General features: G+C 41.2%; 1 protein-coding gene and 1 long non-coding RNA gene across 21 annotated transcripts in view; one reads left to right on the plus strand and one right to left on the minus strand.

The window, feature by feature from the left end:
* The window catches only part of CARMIL1 (capping protein regulator and myosin 1 linker 1), a 341157-nt gene that overhangs the window by 66851 nt on the left and 251717 nt on the right, over window positions 1-22589 (plus strand). The window lies entirely within an intron of this gene.
* LOC124901281 (uncharacterized) overlaps window positions 1-22589 on the minus strand; it is a 124485-nt gene that overhangs the window by 18519 nt on the left and 83377 nt on the right. The gene's annotated exons all lie outside the window — the stretch shown is intronic.

A 22589-nucleotide genomic window follows, 5' to 3' on the forward strand; every position in this document is an offset into this window, starting at 1 on the left:
CCTCTGGCTTCATCTCCCACTTCCCGCCCACTTGCTTCCTTGTTTCCCCCTCTGGTCTTGCTGTTTCTTGAAACAGTCCAGGCCTGAGTCTACCTCAGAGCTTTTTGCATTTGTTCTTCCCTCTGCCTGGAATTCCCTTCAGCTTCCTGTCCTTTATCCATGTCCTCATGATCCCTTATCCCACTCCCTCACTTCCTTCAGGTCTTTCTTCAAATGTCACTTTTTCAGTGAGGACTTCCCTGGCCACCAATCTTAACTTTCCACACCCCTCCTGACACTTTCTGTCTCCTTTGCCTAATTTATTATTCTAGTATTTAGCATAATCTAATAGAGTATATGTTTTGTTGATTTATCTTATTCCTTGTCTCTTTTCTCTCCTACTGGAGTGTAAGTTCCACAAGGCCAGGGACCTTTGTTTTGCTCATTGCTTATTCCTGGGGACTAGGGCGTAGTTTGTGTCATGGTAGGGTGTCATAAGTATTTGTTTAAGAGAAAAATAACTATTTCTGGCTCTAGGCACATTTTGGCTTAAAGTCACTGTAAATCTGCTTGCCACAATGCACTAATAAAGCTAATTATTTTATTTCATGTTCCCTCTTAAAGTATATTTATTACAGGTGTCAAATTAATTTAAAAGCATAATATTAGGCATGAGAGAATACAAATAGAGAAGAGTTCCTGCAGCTTTTCATGCTGCTTTAAGTGAGTCCCATTCATGGTACAGTTCTCTCTACATGCATTTAGAAATATGTCAGCTTATTTATTTAAATGTATCTTGCCTTATTAGAAAAACAAAAAAGATTTAAGGGGGCTGTTTGGAAATGTGATGATGTAAGGATGGGGCAACTTAACATGCTGTTTCAAATGTTTAGACCGTACATTATTGATGTCAATAATCTCCTCTCTAAGAGGCACTGATATCTGTCTATTGTGCAGTTTGCAGCATTCCATGCCAAAGCTTTTGTATTTATTACTTCAGTTCTACCTCTCTTGTTTGGGAAATAATATCTCCAGTCCTCTAAATGTAAGCTAATTTATATTATAGGCAAAAAGCAATTGAATGGCAGTTTCTCAAAGTCAAGTTAATCACAACTACCTAAATTTAGCCATGTGATATTTTACCAACAGCCCATTGATCTCCTGCCCCACTGGCTATTGCATGTAACTATAAAGCAAAGGACAGAACCCAGGCTTGTGCACTCTGGTTTTTCTCTTAGTATTTTCTGGTTTCCCTTAGTGTCATAGTTAACCAGAGTGAAGAAGATTCAGAGCAATTCATATTTCTGCTTCCTAGTAAGTTTTCAAAAACATTTCATTTAAAGAAATACTGTGAAATTAACATTTTTGAGTGGGGTATGGTTCTTTGAATTTTTGAAAGATCATTTTACTTGGAAATTATTTTAGATATATGAAAGAATGGCAAAGGTAGTTTAGAAAGTTCCCATATACCCTTTACTCAGCTTTCCCTAATGTTAACATCTTATTTAACTGTAGTAAATGGATTAAAACTGAGAAATCAACAGTAATACAATACTATTAACTAAACTGCAGACTTTATGTAGATTTTTACCAGTTTGTCCACTAATGTCCTTTTTCCATTTCAGGTTCTCATCCAGGATATCATGTTTTACTTATTCATTTGTCTTTTAGTCTTACAATCAGTAGTAGCACCACTTTCAAACTTACATGGATAGAGAAAGGAGGTTAAGTTAATGCTGTGGTGAAGTCATGAGAGTGTACAGTAAGTCCTCACTTAATGTCATCGATAGGGTCTTGGAAGCTGTGACTTTAAGTGAAACATCATGTAAAGAAACCAGTTTGGCCACAGGCTCATTGATATAAACAACAATTAAGTTCCTACTGCAGATTTCTAGTTACAAAAGATCATCAAACTTCTATACAAACACTTAAAGCACTTCTTTTCTTTTTTTTTGAGATGGAGTCTCACTCTAGGGTGGAGTGCAATGGTGCGATCTTGGCCCACTGCAACCTCCGCCTCCCGGGTTCAATCGATTCTCCTGCCTCAGTCTCCCGAGTAGCTGGGATTACAGGCATGCGCCACCACAGCCGGCTAATTTTGTATTTTTAGTAGAGATGGGGTTTCACCATGTTGGGCAGGCTGGTCTCGAACTCCTGGCCTCTGGTGATCCACCCTCCTCGGCCTCCCAAAGTGTTGGGATTACAGGCGTGAGCCACTGTGCCTTGCTGTTAAACGCGCTTCTAATCTTAAACATAGAAATAAATGTGAGTTATACACACATTTAAGAAAGAGCAATAGGCTGGGCGTGATGGCTCACGCCTGTAATCTGAGCACTTTGGGAGGCCGAGCTGGGCGGATCACGAGGTCAGGAGATCCAGACCATCCTGGCCAACATGGTGAAACCCCATCTCTACTAAAAATACAAAAATTAGCTGGGCGTGGCTGCGTGTGCCTGTAATCCCAGCTATTCAGGAGGCTGAGGCAGGAGAATCACTTGAACTCGGGAGGCAGAGGTTGCAGTGAGCCGAGATCGTGCCTCTGCACTCCAGCCTGGTGACAGAGCTAGACTCTGTCTTAAAAAAATAAAAAATAAAAATAAAAAAATGAAAACAAGATAATTATCCAATTTTTGGTGAATCAGTGAGTGATAGCAGTCATCTTGGTGATGGGTTAAATCAAGGAGTAAATGTTTGCAAAGTGAAAATTGTAGAGTCCTCCCTACCATCACGCGTTTTAAAAACAAATATAGTGAGCTTGCTGAGTGCTTTTGTACCTCATCTTTATTGTTATGTATTTGTATGATTATTGTCTACTTGGTGAATTTAAATTTGACAGTAATTTGTATTAATTCCTTCCTTCCTTCATTCATTTTTCAACTTGCTTGCTTTAGTTCAGGGTTGAAGGTGGCTGGAGCGTATCCTGGCAGGCAGGGCGCAAGGTGGGAACCAACTCTGGACAGGGCTCCATTCCACTGCAGGGTGCACATACACATGCACACACGCATTCTCTCAATCAGACTGGGACAGTTAGGCATGCCAGTGAACCTAATGTGCATGGCTTTGCAATGTAGGAGGAAACAGAAACCTGGAAAAACTCACTCAGACATGGCGAAAACATGCAAACTCTACACCAGACAGTGGTCCCAGTCAGGAATTGATTTCTTTTTCTTCTCATCAGTGTTATTAACCAAATGAAATGACATTATTCACGGACCTGCTGTATAGGTTTAAGGCAGATAGACTGTTGGGACTGGGAGACATTCTGATCCAGGGGCTACAGACGGGTGGCCCTGTGGGGCTCATATACTGTTGGAAATGTGATTTGAATTTGCCAAAATTTAATGACTAAAAGGTTTTCCAGAAAAATTTATGTTTGTGGCTTCTCTTTAAAAGATTGGTAGTTCCCACTGCCTGAGGCCTGTGTTTACCACCAGGGATGATCACATGGCCCTGAGGCGGCCCTTCACCATGGGCAAGGATCCCACCCTCCCAATACTGCCCTGATCTAAACCAGTCCCCTCATTTTTTTTTTTTTTTTTTTTTTGAGATGGAGTCTTGTTCTGTGGCCAGGCTGGAGTACAGTGGTACAATTTCGGCTCACTGCAACCTCCAACTCCCTGGTTCAAGCTATTCTCCTGCCTCAGGCTCCCGAGTAGCTGGGATTACAGGCACATGCCACCACGCCCAGCTAATTTTTGTAATTTTAGTAGAGATGGGGTTTCACCATGTTGGCCAAGATGGTCTCGATCTCCTGACCTCGTGATCCGCCCGCCTTAGCCTCCTAAAGTGCTGGGATTACAGGTGTGAGCCACCACGTCCAGCCTCCACCAGCCCCCTCATTTGATAAATGGAAATGCCTCGGGGGACCAGCACAGTGGCAGAAAGCCACCTCGCCTTGTCTGGCCTTTGTCTGCTCCTCTCGGTCTAAGAGAGAGCTGGGCAGGCATGGTTTTGGCTTCTTTGGGCAGCAAAGATGATAGCTGAAAGAGGATGCAGTATTAACTCCCCTCCAGGTCTAGGCCTATTCTTAGTATTTTTGCTTGTGTCCCTCAAATACTAGAGTTTGCAGACTGGTGCCCGGGGCTGCATTTGCTTTGTAGTCCCTTCCTGTTTACCTGTATGTGGTTATCTAAAGTCTTATAGTTACTAATGGTAAAAATCAAGTGATAAGCCTGAAAATCCAGATTTGTGACTTATTTTGATAAATCAGATGACCTGCAGCACTGGGGCCACCGTCTCACCAGGCATGGGCTCCTGGGCTGGGGTCAAGGCTGCCTCCTCAGATGGGCACAGGCTCATTTGGCCCTTTATTCTCGTTTTTGGGGCCCGCCTGGGTTCCTGTGGGCATTTGAGTTTGCAGTGTTTGCCTCAAGTTATTAGGTTGAAAATCAGAGAAGCCCCAGTAGTTTCCTGTTTGTGTTTCTTGATAATAGTTATTCTTGACAAGGAGTTATTGAAGTAATTCCTTTAAAGTTCTTGAGGAGAGAGGGAATTTGGAACAGGGACTTGTAATAGAATCTGAGATGAGGTTTGCCAAAAGTCAGCCATCTGATTTTTGTCTTCTGTGCCCCTACTGGCTCTCCCTGGATGTGCTGTCAGTTCCCTTCATGTAACCTAAGGTTTAATGATAGACAGATATTAGCTTAGAGTATTCCCCCTTTTGGGGCATTTTTGTTTAAACACAACTTGAAGCACAGTATATTTAAAGAATTGAGTGTAAGCTACCATGGTGGAATTTCAGGCATTCATTGGATGGTATCCCTGTAATTTCATCCCAGAAGTGTGTAAGCATAGAAACGAGAGTAGAGCACTCCCTCTTTGGATCATTATAGAAACATGGAAGAGATTATTAAAGGGGTGTTGTATGTATGTGTAACTCTTAAGGGTCTAGATCTTTGTGGCCCTCTATGGTAGCTGCTAGTCACATATGGCCACCGAGCACTTGAAATATGCTAGTCTACATTGAGATGTGCTGTGAGTATAAAATACACTCTAGATTTCAAAGACCTACTGTGAAACAAAGGATGTAAAATGTCTCATTAATAATTTTTTATATTGATTACATGCTTAAAGGATAATGTTTTGGATATATGAGGTTAAATAAAATATTATTAAAGGTACTTTCATCTTTTTAAAATATGTGGCTACAAGAAAATTTAAACTTCCACACACAGCACATATTCTGTTTCTATTGGACAGAGCTGCTCTAGATTCTGCTGTATTTGATGGTAAGAAAGGGTGAGCAGCCTGTTGTCTAGATCTTGGTAAACCAAAGTACAAAGAACAAATGTGGAGAGACTGAAAATCGTAAATTGTTTTCACACCTCTTGCCTTTAATAAAGTTTATTCTTAACTGCTCACTTTACGGTTTTTGGTGCATTTAGTTGGATGCGAGGTTGCCTTTTCACTTCCTTCATTGTATTCATGGTGTGGCAGTGTTACACAATGGTTCAGAACAAGGGACTTGAAGTCAAACAGTTGCTACTTGGAATTCCAGCCCAGCTACTTGACCTTGGGTCAATTATTTTAACCTCCCTGAGCCTCGTTGTCCTCCTCTATAAATAATGGACGATGATGATGCACCCCAGTGAATGACGATTGTGGAAAATAACATATGTAAAGTGCCCAGTGTTATGATTATTATTCCTGACAATATGAAAAAAAAAATCTTATTCAGCACTTCTCTGTGCTAGGAGTTAAGTCTGCCCCCAAAATCAGGAAACGGCTCCTTTTTGCTTCTGTGGTGTGATACTGGGTCTATCAGAAACCATTTAAAATAAATAGATTTTTTTTCTATTCACTAGTTTCATGGCATAGGTTTTTATTGTATCAGTCTCTTTTTGTTCCTGATGTTCAATATTTATCAAAACCCAGCAAGGACTAAATGTTTAAGAAAACGTTTGGCACCTTGAATTCTCACAGAAGTTGAAAACATGTATTGGATACAGTAAAAAAAAAAAAAAAAGTATTCATCTATAGGTGACTACATAAATGACCCCAGATAACAGGAACTGGACAATGGAGGATGGGAGCAGTCACAAAAACCATGCCATGGGGACCATCAACCTGGTCATCTTGCTCTTTCTCTTTGTGGTTTTCAGGTACTTGTAGGATACTTTTTTTTTTTTTTTGAGGTGAGGCTAAACTTTTATTATGTGTCTTCCAGCTTTTATTATGTGCTGTGGAACTTATTAAACTTAATATATGACTAATGTATATAACTCAGGGGAACGTCTGTGTAAGTTAACTACTAGAGAAACCTTGACAGGAAAAATATGAAGATAGTTTTGAGTGGACTTTATCATTCTCCCTTGATCATAAAAGAATTGAGACTTGGAAGCTGGGAACTTGGGACTCAGAAGGCCCACTGGTGGCCTGCTAACATGTAAGAGTGCACAGATTGGTAAATGTTTTTTAAAGCTTATTTATTTTCTCTGTGTCTATGAAAGACACTACGGGTGTCATTCTCTGCTTCACACTCATGTCTCTTGTACTAAATAGAAGGCAAGTCTTATATTTCCCACTTCCTGCTACTTTGCTTGGCAGTGACTTTTCAAATAATTAAAAAAACTGTCTTGCTGGAGTAGCTCTCTCTTACCCATGGACAGTCTTGTTATATCCAAATCAGTCAGATAGTATATGTAAGAATGCTTTGTGAGCTAAAGTCACTTAATAACTACAGTCTTATTACTAACCTGACCATGGCTGCTGGCCATGAAGCTCACTTGATTTCATCCACAGGTTCCAGTCAACCCCTCCTGCCACTACCTGTTGTAGGTGTGGATGGTGTTTCTGTGTGTCTTCTCCTGCCGCCCTGCCTGGATCTCAGCTGCTATCTTTTGGCCATCACAAGCCTGGCTTTACCCACCAACTGTAGGTCCTGGCTGTCCTGCTCAGGATATGACAGCTGCTCTCTAGTAAGAATTCTCTGATTCCTGATAGATGACCCCTCTTCGTAAATTATGATTATCTTAAATAATATGATATCTATAATTGTAATAATAGAAGCTAACAACTGATTGCTTACTGTGTGCTAGATGCTCTTGTAATTGATTTGTTCTCTTTTGAGTCTCAACAATCCTAGGAGAGATGTGTTATTATCCCTATTATTCAGATGATAAAACTGAGGTGCAGACAGGGTAAATGCTGTCCCAAAGTCTCAGATTAGAACCCAGGTCTATCAGAGTAGGTCTTGAGGTTTTAACAGTGCTTGTTTTCTGATCTTTGTTTATGTTGTTTTCCTGATCTCTTGCCATGTGTCTAAATATTTCTAGTCTTCAAACACAAGTTCTACCTCTGAAGTGACATTTTCATTAAGGACTCTAGGCTGCATGTTATGTGCTCTTATCCCCATTGCTCTGAGCCAGCTGAAGGATGTCTTGCTTGTCTCTATGGCTTAGCTAGCCTTTTATAATGTATTTTTTTCTGATTGTTTCTTGTGCATCAATCTTGATTTTCCAAATTTTATTGTTAGTACTTCTAAGATGAGGGCACTTTGTACGTTTCTCTTAGATTCTTCAACATACTTAGCATGGTAGTGAGTAAGCTCATTAAGAAAAATTTATGAACTAGACATTTAAGAAACAGACATAGAGAATTTGCTACTGACAGTGTCTATTGGCTGACCCTGTACCATTCACTACCCTTTTCATTTTAGCTTCTGGAGGGATTAGTCTAAGAGTGCTTCTCCGTTAGAAGAAGTTTTGCCCTGCAGGGGACATTTGGCAGTGTCTAGAGACAGATATTTTGGATTTTCACAACTAGGAATGGGGTGCTACTGGCATCTATGGGGTAGAGGCCAGGGATTCTGATAATGCACAGATAAAAATAGATAATCCACAGATAAGAATATTGTCTGGTTCCAAATGTTGATAGTGCCAAGGCTGAGAAACTCTGGACTAGAGGTAGCAATATGATATGTTCTGGTCAATTAAATATAAGTGGAAGGGTCTGCTGTGGCTTTCTTTTCTTTTTTGGGACAGTATTTTGTCTGTCACCTAGGCTAGGGTGCAGTGATGTGATCATAGCTCACTGCAGCCTGCAGTTCCTGGACTCAAGTGATCCTCCTGCCTCAGCTTCCGAGTAGCTGGGACTATAGTTGCGTAGCACCACACTTGACTAATTAAATTTTTTTTTTTTTTTTTTTTTTTTTTTTTGTGGAGACAGGGCCTTGCTATATTGCCCAACATGGTCTTGAACTCCTGGCCTCAAGTGATCCTCCCTCCTTGGCTTCCCAAAGTGCTGGGATTACAGGAGTGAGCCACCGTACTTGCCCTGCTGTGGCTTTCTAGGAAAATTATGCTTCCATGAGAGAGGATTGCCCCTTCATGTTTTCAGCTTCTTCTGCTTTCAACATGAGCTTGAACCTGGAGGTAGAATATCCATGCATCTTGTGACCAAGAGGGAACAAACATGAAGATAAAAGTCAGCATGCTAAGGGTGGTGAAGTGAAAAGATAAAAAATGTTTGAGTTTTCTTTTACTTGTAACCAAACACATTCCTGAGCTAATAGACCACAGAAACTTGAGTTGGGAAGGAATTAAGCCCAGCCTGACCTCATCGAAGACTTTTCCAACGTTTCTGGTGACATAATCCACTGCTTTGGGAGGGAGTCTAATTTTGTTGCAGATCTATATCCATTCCAACAGTTCTCTCTTACAGTGAGTGAAATTTGACCCCCAAAACTTCTGCTTATAGACCCAGTGTGATGCTGACCTGAGAGTCACCTGGACAGTCACTCCCACACTTTCATAGATGTCAGTGAAAAGTCATCCTGATCAAGCTGGCGAGTCTACTGACAGAGACCCTCTTCCAAATATTCTGGAGGGATGTACATCTAGAATGTAATACCCTCTCCTTGGGTAGCTCTTTAGAGCCACAGTCCAAAGGTGAGGCCATTAATAAAATAAAAAGATGTGACCTCTGGGACCCCCAAGCCCTTTGGTTTCCTACATAGGACTTTAGAGTCAACATAAATATACTAGAAGCTTCTGATATTATAACCACATGAATGAGCCAAGAAGGAACTCTCAGTGGCTTGACTGCCCTTAATCTTTCCTCTATGTCTTGGGCTAGACACCAGGAATACTACTTTCCTCCTGATTACCTTTATTTTCAATCCAGTTTACAAATAACTAAGTGCCTCAAAACCCCTCAGAGTAAGGACAGGTGGCTCATGTCTGTAATCCCAGCACTTTGGGAGGCTGAGGCTGGAGGATCGCTTTAGGCCAGGAGTTTAAGACTAGCCTGGGAAACATAGGGAGACTCTGTCTTTATGAAAAAAGAAAAAAAATTAATTGGGTGTGGTGGTGTGCACCTGCTACTGCGTAGCAGTCCAGAGTAGTTGCGTAGTCCCAGCTACTCTGGAGGTTGAGGCGGGAGGATCACTTGAACCCAGCAATTTAAGGCTGCAGTGAGTTATGATCGCACCACTGCAACCCAGCCTGGGTGACAGAGCAAGACCCTGTTTGGAAAAAGAAAAATAAACAACCAACCAACCAAAGAAACCTCTCAGAATAAATGCCTGAGAGCTGTTTCTGCTAAATATCTTTCAATTTAAAATTTTTTAATTCTGGTAAAAAGAGAAAACCACATGAAATTTGTCATCTTAACCATTTTTAATTGTGCAGTTCAGTAAAGTATATTGACATTACTGTGCCACAGATCTCTGGAACTTTTCCGTCTTGTCTGCTGACTATCTTTTATGGCAGTGTAGGGTGAGCCATGTCTTTACACAGTTGTTCATTCACTGCTTGCCCTGCTACTTACACTCCTCCTGCAAAATGCCCCTAGCTTATAGTACAAGAAAGAGGTTTCTTTGGCTGGACTTTCCTCCTTCTAAGACTTCTTTTTTTTTTTTTTTTTTGAGACGGAGTTTCGCTCTGTCGCCCAGGCCGGACTGCGGACTGCAGTGGCACAATCTCGGCTCACTGCAAGCTCCGCTTCCCGGGTTCACGCCATTCTCCTGCCTCAGCCTCCCGAGTAGCTGGGACTACAGGCTCCCGCCACTGCGCCCGGCTAATTTTTTGTATTTTTAGTAGAGACAGGGTTTCACCTTGTTAGCCAGGATGGTCTCGATCTCCTGACCTCATGATCCACCCGCCTCGGCCTCCCAAAGTGCTGGGATTACAGGCGTGAGCCACCGCGCCCGGTCCTCCTTCTAAGACTTCTGTGTCAGCCATTCAGTGAGTTTGCTCAAGTCCTCTTACAGTCCTTACCATTTCATTAGTTGAATGCTTAAGTAGAAATGGGTTTAAAAAACCAGAGATTTGGTTTAAAGAGAGGGAATATCTGGGAGCAGCAAGGATTCTAGGTGGGTAGGGTGTAAACCTCACCAAGTAACTCAGCTGAAAATACTTTCTCAATTTAGTACAAGGTCCCAGCACGGAAAGATGTACAAGGTTATTTTTCCTGGCGCTTCTCCCTTCCGTATAGCCCATATGTTAGTGCCCTTAGTTCTTAATGCCCTCTGGCAGCCAAGTTCTTATCTTGGGGAGCTACATCACAGGTGTTGGGTGCTGTTTAATTTTCAGCTAATTGAGCTTTTTTGCTGCTAGAGTCTTGTATGGTGTTTTCTTGAATTCATGAATTAGTCATTAATTTGTGTTTAGCAGGCAGGCACCCTGGCAGTCTGTGGTCTGTCCAGCAGACCTTCTTTTGGACTGGACGGATGCTCTTTGTGCAGTTTTTAGTGAATGATGGTGGGAAAAACAGAATCCTCTTCCAGAACCCTTAAACGGCAGCCTTTTCTTTACTTCCAGCTCTTACCTTGCAGGTGGGTGTGGGTCTTAACTTCAGAATGGCTACTTTTAGTGGGGTTAACTATTGGGGTAGGATGGAGACTGTGTTCTGAGGCTCAGCAGAAGTCATTGTGTTTTTTTTTTTTTTTTGGCACTCTGTAAGGTTTGAGGAAATTCTGTGATTTGAATGAATTTTTTCTCAGGAGGATTTACTTCTAAAATAAACGTAATTAATTAGATAACTGGAATTTCCTACCACTTAGATGGTTGTTGTCAGGTTCTGTTTCCTTGCTACAATTTGAAAGCACTTGAAATTTCAGATTCATGAATTTATACCACAAAAACTCAAAACAGTTGAAAAGTACATAGATGCTCATGCCTGTAAGCCCAGCACTTTGGGAGGCCGAGATGGGCAGATCACTTGAGGCCGGGAGTTCGAGACCACCCTGGCCAACATGGCAAAACCTCATCTCTAGTAAAAATGCAAAAAAATTAGCCGGATGTGTTGGTACATGCTTGTAATCTCAGCTACTTGGAAGGTTCAGGCATGAGAATCACTTGAACCTGGGAAGCAGAGGTTGCAGTGAACCAAGATTGTGCCACTGCACTCTAGCCTAGGGGACAGAGTGAAATTTTGTGTCAAAAAGAAAACAAAAATAAAAAAACACATTTTTTTGAGTGTTATGGAGTTATGATTCCAATTCTTTAATTTTAATAAGCCTTGAAAAGCTGCAGTTTACTCCATCATGAGTAGGGATAAGCTTCTCAGTATAAACAACCTGTAGTTCTGTGGTTAATGAAATAAGAAGCTTGAACTACTTTCTTAAGTTAAAAGTGCCTTTTCAGCAAGTAGATGCTCAATGAAGTTAGCACACCTATTTCAACTTTAATCAATAAGGTGGAAATAATGCAGTATGGCAGGTACATTACTTTCAGTTGCATTTTCTAGGTGTGATTATCTCAGAGTTTGAAATCGTACATTTTATGATTTTATGTTAGTGCAGGATGAATCTTTTCAGTTATAACTGAGCTGGCTGTGAGCATTTAGCCTGACAGGTTGGGCTGCTTTTCTTACTGGTTTTGTCCGTATAAGGAGTACCACAGAAGTACCTCACACGCATTTTAAAATAACTTTTCGGTAATAAAAATTAATATTGGTTAAGAATAAACTTAGCTTATCTAATGCGTGGGCCAACCATTTCTGAGCAAAATTGTGAGCAGAGTTTGTCTTGTGTGTTGGCTGTGGTCTTAAAAACACTAGCAGACAGTGTTATGTTGACTGTAATATTTCTTCTGTAGAGTAAAAGATAGATTTCATTTCTGGGTGAAGCATTGTAATTGGCTTATACTTTTGTTTCTGGTCATATTATGTAGACAGTAGAAAAGAAGTGGGAATATAAAGGTAGGAGAGGTATTACTTGAATGTGACGCATAAAAAGTATATAAGTAGACAGAAAAGAAGTGGGAATATACAGGTAGGAGAAGCATTACTTTTATGTGATGCATAAAAAATATATAGAGTTTTCTATTGTTTTGGGGGTGGGGTTAGAAAACATGCTATAGATAAAGAAGAGTCAAAATTAGAAAATTAAGTAAGATGTTTCCTGTTATACTTAAACATTGCAATACTTACAAAGCATATCATAAGGTATATATAAAGTGGTCATTATGAACTTTCTTTACCCAGGTCAAGCAACGCCTCTAAGGGGGAAAAATAATTTGGTGAATCCCCATACTCTATGATAGGGCATATAGAGCCATTTTATTATAAAGAAGTGATATATTGCTGAAGTGAGTACTAAGTAGCAAGCAGTGGAAATGTGTACCATGCATTTCTGAGAAATAATGCCTGGGAATGCACTGCAAAACAGGTGTACTTGGTGTATATGCAATTTAAGTAACATAACAACTTGAGAAGGATTCAAAGATGGGAATAGCTATCATGTGAATGAAGGCATTGCACTGTAGAAATATCTTACTATAACAATTTTATTATATGATCATTGTGGCCAAGAATACTGATCATTTAGCTTAGTTTTAGAAGCTAAATATGAAGTATCATCATTCTATGTACAATGTATTCTGTGGTGGTTGTGCATTTATTATTGGGATCACAGCGTGTCTTTTTTCTGCCAAGATGGACACTGGGCACCATGGTCACAGGCTTCTTGGGTGCTACTAATAGAAGGCTCTCTCTTGGCTTTCTCTGTTGGGCAGAAGTCTGTGAATGCCATTATAGCTAAGACTCTCCCATTCTGGCCAGGAAAGGAAGCTGGAAGGACTTGGACTCACTGATTTGTGCTGACACCCATTCAGCCCTGCCGTTGGAACTCTTTAATGTGCTTTTCAGTGAGCTAGTGTTTCAGAACCTCATGACAGGGCAGGCTGATTTCTCAGATGCATACTTCTCTGACCTCTGGCTTCCCCTAGCTCACTGAGGCTCGTTCTGCCTGTTGATGAGGCTCTCCTGGCAGATTTGACACTGGACCCAAGAGGGCAGAAGAATCAGCTGTTAAGCTGGTACAGGGCTCAAAGATAAATAAGAAGACACTCAGCAGAGCGTAACTTTGAGGCAGGCACACAACCACTTGGGTCAGTGTAGTATTTGGGGCATGTGGGTTTGTGTTTGGAATTTGAGAGGAAGCACTCTGATGATCCAGCAGCCTTTGTGCTCCAGTGACATGCTAATTTTTTTTTCCTGATATTGGGATTGCGTTCCCTTGACTATTGCAGCAGAGAAACTGAAATGGGAATCATTTCCTGTGGGTGCACTGATGTGCACAGTGGGCGGAACCGGGAAGGCAAGTCAGAGGCATTTTTCTCATTTCTGAATCCATGAGTCTGGCTTTTCCCTTAGGGTATTTGGGCCAATTGTTATAGTGTGTCCCACTGTGTAAATTGAAGGTTTAGCCAAGTCTGGCTGAATGGTTTAGTCTTGCAAAAACTAAAGCACTTTGTTTTTAAAAAAGGAAAAAAAAGTTTAACTTTTTTTATTTTTAACATGGCATTATTGGACTAAATGATGTTAGGCATGTTAACAGAGTAAAAGGGAGAACTTCTTTCTGCAGTTTGGCAGGCCTGTCACTTCACAGGTGTATCACTGTCCAAATGAGGGATGCCAGATAAGACATCATTCAGCCTCCCGGAGGGGTGGGGGAGCAGGTGTGGCACAATACAGTCATTGTTCATTGTCTTCCCGCTTACAGTATTGTAAAACCTGCACTGCATTAAAAATCCTATTAATAGAACATTGGATTAGGAAGAATACTTAGGCTTCTCCCTCCTTCCATCAGTTTTAAAAGGAATTTAGAAAAATCACTATTTCTTGTATGTATGAGTGGGGGAGGGAAAGAAGGAAGAAAAGAGAGACTGACTTTGTCTTTGAAATACAGAAGAGAACATCTTGCAGTGAGGAATGAGAATCTAAAAAGATAACCAGGCTTCTTGTAAGAAAACTTTCATAGACAGTTATTCAGCAGGCAGATTTTTAATTTTCATGTTTCCAGCTTGTTTAGTCTGTGGGGACTTTGATTTCTGGAAGCCCACTGGGATCGCTGCTAAACCTTACATACTTTTTTTGTTGTATCAAATTCAGTTCAACTACCAGAAAATTTTTTTTGGCAATTATTTTTTTCTCTGTCATGTTTTCTGTCCAATGAGAGGAGAAGACTGGGATAGCCAAGGCAAATGCTGCTCAAATTATTGTGCCCAAGAGGAGAGATTTGGCCCTGTGATACTGCAGGGGGACTGTTGAGAAAGAGTAACAGGGACATATTGGGAAGTGTGCAGCCTGGGCTTCCCAACTGATGTCTTAGCTAATTTGAAATGTTGTGATTAGACCTTCCCTTATTCACGTTGAGGAATGAATATGCTGACAGCCATATGCATGTGATTTTAGGATTATTAAGTGTAATGGAATGTCCAAACCATCACTCAGTTTTACATAGCACCCTTCAAGAACTAGAATGCCTGGGAAACATGGCTGTCCCAGTTAAGTTGAGGTTTTATCTGAAACCCATTTTGTTTTCAAACATGTTGGAAATGTTCCTAAAAATGCCTGAGTGTGCTTTGGGGGTGTGCTTGGTGAGTATGCTTTCCTACCCTTGAGTGTTTGAGACTTGTTTTCATTATGTTAGGGGCTTATGATAAAGTCTTCATTTTCAGATCTTTATGTAGAAGATATATATAATTGAGCAGATTTTGAAGTTTCGCTCAAATCTTGTTTGTATTTAAGAATACTTTTTCTTATTCATTATTCTGATTAATTTTTCTTTTAAAACTGGCAACATTTTGCAGGTAGTTTATGGTTTTGCAAATTAGAATATGGGTCATTCCTCTAAATAGAAACAGTGTTTTTGGTCTTGATGGGTCTGTGAATTAGGTGAAACTAGTTTTATCTTTCTCCTTCTACTTCTAGGGGAAAGTCTTTACCTTTCCCCCCCTGCACACTCCTCCCACCCCACCCTTCCAAGCTTGATCTCAGCAAATTCATTGACTTCCAAAATTCATTTATATGACTTTAATCTTAAGTCATCTTTATGAAAATGGCTTATCTTTAACTTACTACCTGTTTCAGGAATAGTTGCAGGCAGAGCTTTTTTCTTATTTTTCTTGGTATGAAAGGCTTTGTATCCTGCTAAAGGAATTTCAGGATTTATAGTTATAAGTAGCTATATTTTTAGTCATGAGCTTTGCTATGGTTTGAAAGTGTCCGCCAAATTTCATGTGTTGGAAACTTAATCCCCAAATCCATATGTTGGTTGCATTTGGAGGTGGGGCCTGTGGGATGTAATAAGGGTTAAATAAGGTCATCAGGGGGGTTCCCATTGATGTTACAGGTGGCTTTATAAGAAGAGAGACCTGAGCTAGCATGCTCTTGCTCTCTCACCGTATGATGCTCTCTACTATGTTATGACATAGCGGGAAGGCCCTCGCCAGATGCAGACTCTTGAGTTTGAACTTTTCAGCCTCCAGAACTGTAAGAAATACATTTCTTTTTCAGGACCCATAAGACAGAGCAAAAAATAAAAAGAAAAAAAGAAATTAAAAAAAGAAAGAAAAAATTTTAAAAAATTCTTTTGAAAAATAAATTACACAGTCTGTGATACTGTGTTATAGCAACAGAAAATGAACTAAGGCGGGTTCCCAGAACCTTTATAATCACATCAGCTTGTTAACTGCTGTTCCACTTGTAAGCAGCTCCCCCTCAGGCCAGATATTACTGGCATAAGTGGAAAACCTAGGCACCTGAAAGTTTCTGACAGCCTTTCAGAAAGTTCCAGAAAGGAGTGCCTTTGTTTTCCTCACTAAGTGAGAGATTAAAAAAGAAAATCAGTAAAAGTCACTTCCCCTAATGCCTACAGTTGTCATCCTGGAATCACACTTTTATTGAATCCAATTCAGCAAACATTTATCGAAGACCAGCTATGTATAGTTAAAACCACTACACGGGCCGGGCGTGGTGGCTCATGCCTGTAATCCCAGTACTTTGGGAGGCCGAGGTGGGTGGATCACCTGAGGTCCGGAGTTTGAGACCAGTCTGGACAACATGGTAAAACCCTGTCTCTACTAAAATTACAAAATTATCTGGGCATGGTGGCACATGCCTGTAATCCCAGCTAATTGGGAGGCTGAGGCAGGGGAATCACTTGAACCCAGGAGGTGGAGGTTGAGGTGAGCTGAGATCGTGCTATTGCACTCCAGCCTGGGAAACAGAGACTCCGTCTCAAAAACAAAACAAAACAAAACAAAAAAACCACTACACGAGCTGTAGAAAAGCCCATTTGTTTCTCTTCTAAAGTATATAATGGGGCTGGGCACAGTGGCTCACACCTGTAATTTCCACACTTTGGGAGGCCAAGGCAGGCACATCACCTGAGGTCAGGAGTTTGAAACCAGCCTGGCCAACATGGTGAAACCTCGTCTCTACTAAAAATAGAAAAATTAGCTGGGCATGATGGCACATGCCTGTAATCCCAGCTACTCTGGGGGCTGAAGCATGAGAATTGTCTGAACCTGGGAGGCGGAGGTTGCAGTGAGCCGAGATTGCACCACTGCACCCCAGCCTGGGTGACAGAGTGAGACTCTGTCTCCAAAACAAAGAAAGAAAAGAAAGAAAGAAAGCACACAGTGGGTGAAGAAAGTACTCACTACTCAGGTAGTGAGTACCTGACCAATGTAGAATGACTTTTAAAATTCCAGACTTGGGAGCATTTCTCAGGATGCCAGTAGGTATTAAAAATTATTTTTGACCAAGTAAATTTGGAGAAAGATGGGTTAAGTGAAGTTGGATAGGGATTTTCTTTTTTATCGGTGCTTCCAAAGGGGGATGGTATATGCAGCATTTCCCAAATTTATTTGACCAGGGACCATGTATTTATTTATTTAGGAGCAGCTCAGAGGACTAGTGTTCCATGGAGAACACTGTGACAAAGGCTGTTCTACACCACGGAAGATTTTTTTCCTCTCTCTCTTTTAGAGGGCTCTTTTATTTTGGTGTATACATGTTTATTATTCAGAGCCAGCAAACTCTGTAACTTTCTCCATTGGTTATATAAAAAGTGTTAGCATTTTCCTTGGATATTTGTGAGGTTTTGAAGGGCCGGGATAATGACCGTTGAGTGAGCTCTTACTTGGTGCCAGCTACATTGCTGAGCATTTCCTCTAGAGTCTCATTAGTGGGAAGTACAAATTAGCAGTTCTGCTTTTTAGGTGAGAGGATAACTTGACCAATATGCAATTTATGCATCATTTCCAACATGCCAGACATTTTAAGGTGAAGAGATTTTAAAAATCATGTATAGTTTTATATATAGATTCATATATAGTTGTAAGAAGTTATACAGAGTGATTCTGTGTCCCTTTCACCCAGTTTCTCCCAATGGTAACGTGTTGCCTAACAGTATTACAGTATCACAATCAGGCAGTTAACACTGATTCAGTGATCAACACTTTAACACTTTTTAGATTTTTTTCTTCCTTTCTCTCTTCTCTTCTCTCTCGTTTCTTTCTTTTTTTGAGACAGGGTCTCGCTCTGTTGCCCAGGCTGGACTACAGTAGCAATATCATGGTTCAGCACAGCCTTGACCTCCTGGGTTCAAGCGATCCTCCCTCCTCAGCCTCCCATGTAGCTAGCTATGACCACAGGCATGCACTACCATACCCATAATTTAAAAAAAAATGTGTAGAGATGGGGTCTCACTATGTTGCCTCGGCTGGTCTTGAACTCCTGGGCTCAAGTGACCCTCCTGCCTGGCCTCCCAGAGTGTTGGGATTACAGACATGAGCCACCATGCCCTGCCATTTTTTAGATTTCATAGGTTTTACACACATTCTTTTTGTGTGTGTGTACATTTAGTTCTATGCAGTTTTTCACATGTGAAAATTTGTGTGACCACCACCGCAGTTAAGATACAGAACAGTTCCATCACAAGGATCCCAAATGGTATGCCTTTATAACCATAGCCAACTCTCTCCTTCTTTATAATTTTGTCATTTTAAGTAGTCTCTATAAATGGAACTATACAACATGTAACCTTTTGAGATTGGCTTTTTAACATCCTAGCTGCTTTTAATCCACTGTTGCCAATTTCTATAGCAATCCTATATGGATTCTTTTTTCTTTTTCTTCTTTTTTTTGAGACAGAGTTTCTGTCTTGTCACCCAGACTGGAGTGCAGTGGCGCGATCTTGGCTCACTGCGACCTCCGTCTCCCGGGTTCAAATGATTCTCCTGCCTCAGCTTCCTGAGTAGCTGGTGTTACAAGTGCCCGCCACCACGCCCGGCTAATTTTTTGTATTTTTAGTAGAGATGGGGTTTCGCCATGTTGGCCAGGCTTGTCTTGAACTCCTGAGCTCAGGTGATCCATCCGCCTCGGCCTCCCAAAGTGCTGGGGTGAATTCCTTTAAGTAGATGAGGAAGTGAAACCCCGGAAGAGTACAGTGTCATGCCCAAAGCTATATTATTAGTGGACCAGGAAGCGAGGAGGGGCCCAAGCATCCCTGATTCTCAGCCTTGACTCCTTTCACTCAGCGTTGGCCTTTCTCTATCTGGATTCCCAGTGTTCATATTCTGTTTCTACCAACACAGTTCTCCTTTTCTCTTCCTCTGTACTCAAAATAAAGTCTCTCTTGTTTTTTATAAATCTTAAATTTTAAAAAAGAAGCTTGGATCACATTATTATTTTGGAAGTGCAGAGATTGGATATTTTTTCCGTCCAGCTCTATTTTGGTCTTGTTACCATTTTCAGTGTTTTCTGTGCTGAGTTGCTTCACCACCTTGATGCTGCCACAAATGATGAGGATGGTTGTAGTATAGAGAATAAAGGTGGAGATTCTTGCACATCATTTCTTGAATCCATGTATAGGCATCTTTGGCTTGCAGCCCATCTGAGTGCTGTATTCAGCCTACTAGCTCTGGTTGCTCTGGTGCTAAACATATTCCCAGCGCCTTTGGGACTTAACTCACTACAGGCAAGAAGCTGTCAGTGCACTGAGGGATGGTGGGAAAGCAAAATGCATACATTTCTATTTATCGCAGTAGTGCCAGATGCTGTATATTTAAGAAAAAAACTTCCAGTATTGGAGAAGAATTGCCGTCCGCCCCCCTCACTTTATTTATTTATTTTTTTAAACAGGGTCTGGGTCTGTCACCCAGACTGGAGTGTTTTGTTGCAATCTCAGCCCACTGCAACCTTCACTTCCCGGGCTCAAGTGATTCTCCTGCCTCAACCTCCTGAGTAGCTGGGACTATAGGCATGTGCCACTGTACCTGGCTCATTTTCTTTTTTAGTAGAGATGGGGTTTTGCCATGTTGCCTAGGATGGCCTCGAACTCTTGAGTTCAAGCGATCCGCCTGTTTTGGCATTCCAAAATGCTAGGATTACAGGTGTACAAGTGTGAGCCACCATGCCTGACCATAAGCCTTTTGAAAGCTGTACTTTTGAAATGTATGTGGGATGTAGTATTTAAGAAGATTAGGAAACAGCAAAATGTGTAGATTTTTGTTGATCATTGAACCGCCTAGACATTCTCTTCTTTCAGTGTCCATTTACGTATGTATGTATTATGTATTTAGAGACAGTGTCTTGCTCTGTTGCTCAGGCTGGAGTACAGTGGCACTATCACAGCTCCCTGGAACCTCGAACTGGGTTCACAACCTCCCATTTCAGCCTCCCAAATAGCTAGGATTACAAGTGTGTACTACCATGCCTGGCTAATTAAAAAAAAAAAAAATTGTAGAGATGTGCTCTCACTGTGTTGCCCAGGCTGATCTTAAACTCCTAGCCTCAAGCAGTCCTTCCATCTTGGCCTCTCAAAGTGCTGGGATTACAGGCATGAGCCACCATACATGGCCTTTCAGTGTCTTTGAACTAGCTATTCCCTCTGCCTGGAAAACTTTCCTAAGATTTCCATGCAGTTTGGGGCACTTCCTCACCTTCTTCAAATCTCTGTACAATGTTACCTTTTTTCTGTGTCTGTGCCTGACATTTAAAATTGTAACACCTCACCCTCACCCCATTCTGCTTTACTTTTCTCCATCACACTTTGATCAGCTTTGAACATGCCCCTATGTCTTCGTTATGTATCTATGCATTGTTTTCTCTTTCCTAGAATGTAAACCTCCTGAAGGCAGGGATTTTTGCCTATTTTGCTCACTGCTGTATATCCAACCTTTTAGAATAGTGCCTGGCACATACTAGATCTCATTATACATTATACAAGTAAATGAAAGTTTTCAAGATTAAAGATTTGTATGAATTAAGTTAAGTAACAGCACCCTCTTACAGGACACAAGAGAATAATCATGTCTGTACAGGTTGGCCCCTGGTAAGATGCTCATTTAAAAATGGTTGTGTCAGTTTAATATAAGTGTGTTCTTTTCTTGCCTACTTAAAATGTATTTCTAACTATGACTTTTCTTTTGGAAAATGATTGACTTTGGGGGAGCTCTTTCAGAGGTAAAGGAAGTTAACTAGCAGATCTAGGTAACTGAACCTTGTGTACTATTCTAGAAATGTTTATACTTCTGCCAAATTGAAGCATGAGTTCAGTGTTTGCATAACCACCTGTGCAGTTACTCATAGTAGCATTCCAGTATGCATTTGCTGAACTATACTCTTCAATTTTGCAATAAAAGTATTTTCACATGTTGGCTGCTACTGTGAAAATTGGTTTCTCTCAAATGTTCGGAAAGCTTGTGCTGCAGTTTTGATGTGGGGGGTGTGGTTTAGTGCTGCATAACATTTACTTTTTTGGTGGAAGGGGGATCTGTGATGTAAACTTTTGGTTTCAATTTCTCTATTTGGAGCTCTTTTTGTTAGTGCTAAGAATTCTGAGGGTATCCCTATAGATGCTGGTTAAAAAACAAACAAAGCAATGTTGTCATTGACAGTTTGGTCAAGTGGGATGTAAGCTGCTGAGTGGGGTGAAGACCTGGTCTCCTTGGGGCTGATTTGGGGTTTGGGAGTGGTTTGGAGGGTGGCTGCCATTGAGGAGCAGGAAGTGTGGGGGTTGCTGCTGTGTCTGGAAGGACCTCCTAGGGGAGAGCTAGCAAACCAACATCACCAGTGCCCCCAGAACACTCAGCTGTGTGTGATGTGGCTGTGTGTGCCCTTGCTGGTACTCAGTCCTGTTAAGGCTTGAAGAGGAAGGTAAGGAGGGTAAGACTTGGAGAGGGAAGAGTTAAGGAGGGAGAATATTAATGCAGTAAGGAAGTAATTCATATTTTGAGACAGGTTCCCATGTGTGAACACTTGACTTCCAAACAGCCCACACTTGGCTTCATTATCTACAGACCACCTCTCCTGTGCTGCATTCAGACTCTCCCCCAAACCCCGACGGAGCCTCGGTCTGTCGCCTAGGCTGGAGTGCAGTGGCATGATCTCGGCTCACTGCAGCTTCTGCCTCCCAGGTTCAAATGATTTTCCTGCCTCAGTCTCCCGAATAGCTGGGATTTACAGGCACATGCCACCATACCCGGCTGATTTTTGCATTTTTAGTAGAAATGAGGTTTCCCCATGTTGGCCAGGCTGGTCACAAACTCCTGACCTCAAGTGATCTGCCTGCCTTGACCTCCCAAAGTGTTGGGATTACAGGCGTGAGCCACCGCACCCGGCTGCATTCAGACCTTTCCACGTCAGCTGAACTATCAGTAAAATTCTGAGCACAACTCTGAGAGAAATTCAGAGTTCAAATCAGTTGGTATGCCAGAAGCAGAGAACCCTGATCCTTACTGGAGTTGACTAGGACACCTTCTCTTTATTAGTTAAAGGTATGGCTAAATTTAAATAACTAATAGAGGTCAGACACGACTTACTTAGTTTCTGAGAGTAGTTGTTAACTGTCCTTTTCCCAAGGGAAATAAGCTAAGCTGAATTACTTAAACCACACTTTTTCCGTTTCTTAAAATGATTTCCATTTCCCTGCCCTAGGAAAAGTAGGCGGCTGCAGAGAGGTTGTGACAGAATTATAAAGCTATTTGAGTTAAATTAGCCCAGTACATCACTCTTAGAGCACATTGAACAGACAGCTAACACCTCCTGATAAGCACCAGCTACATACAGATCAATGTTTTCAAATGAAACCAAAGACATACATTCAATTTAGGGAGACAAAACAGACATTACTCAGGAATCTCATAGAACCCCAGATGATTATGATATAACCAATAACATAAGACCCACCTGATTGGCAGTTCTGTGAATCACCCTAAAATCTCTACTAAAATGGTTAAGTCCTGTACTCTTTACTCTGGAGTCCTCTTGTCTACCTTTCAGAAATGGTTGAAATATTTAGATGTGGAATTAATGAGATTTTACATGTCTACACTCTTGCTTTATATATTTTAATGTGATAAATGGCCTCATGTATG

The sequence above is a fragment of the Homo sapiens genome, chromosome 6 (genome assembly GCF_000001405.40).
Source record: "Homo sapiens chromosome 6, GRCh38.p14 Primary Assembly".
NCBI lineage: Eukaryota > Metazoa > Chordata > Mammalia > Primates > Hominidae > Homo > Homo sapiens.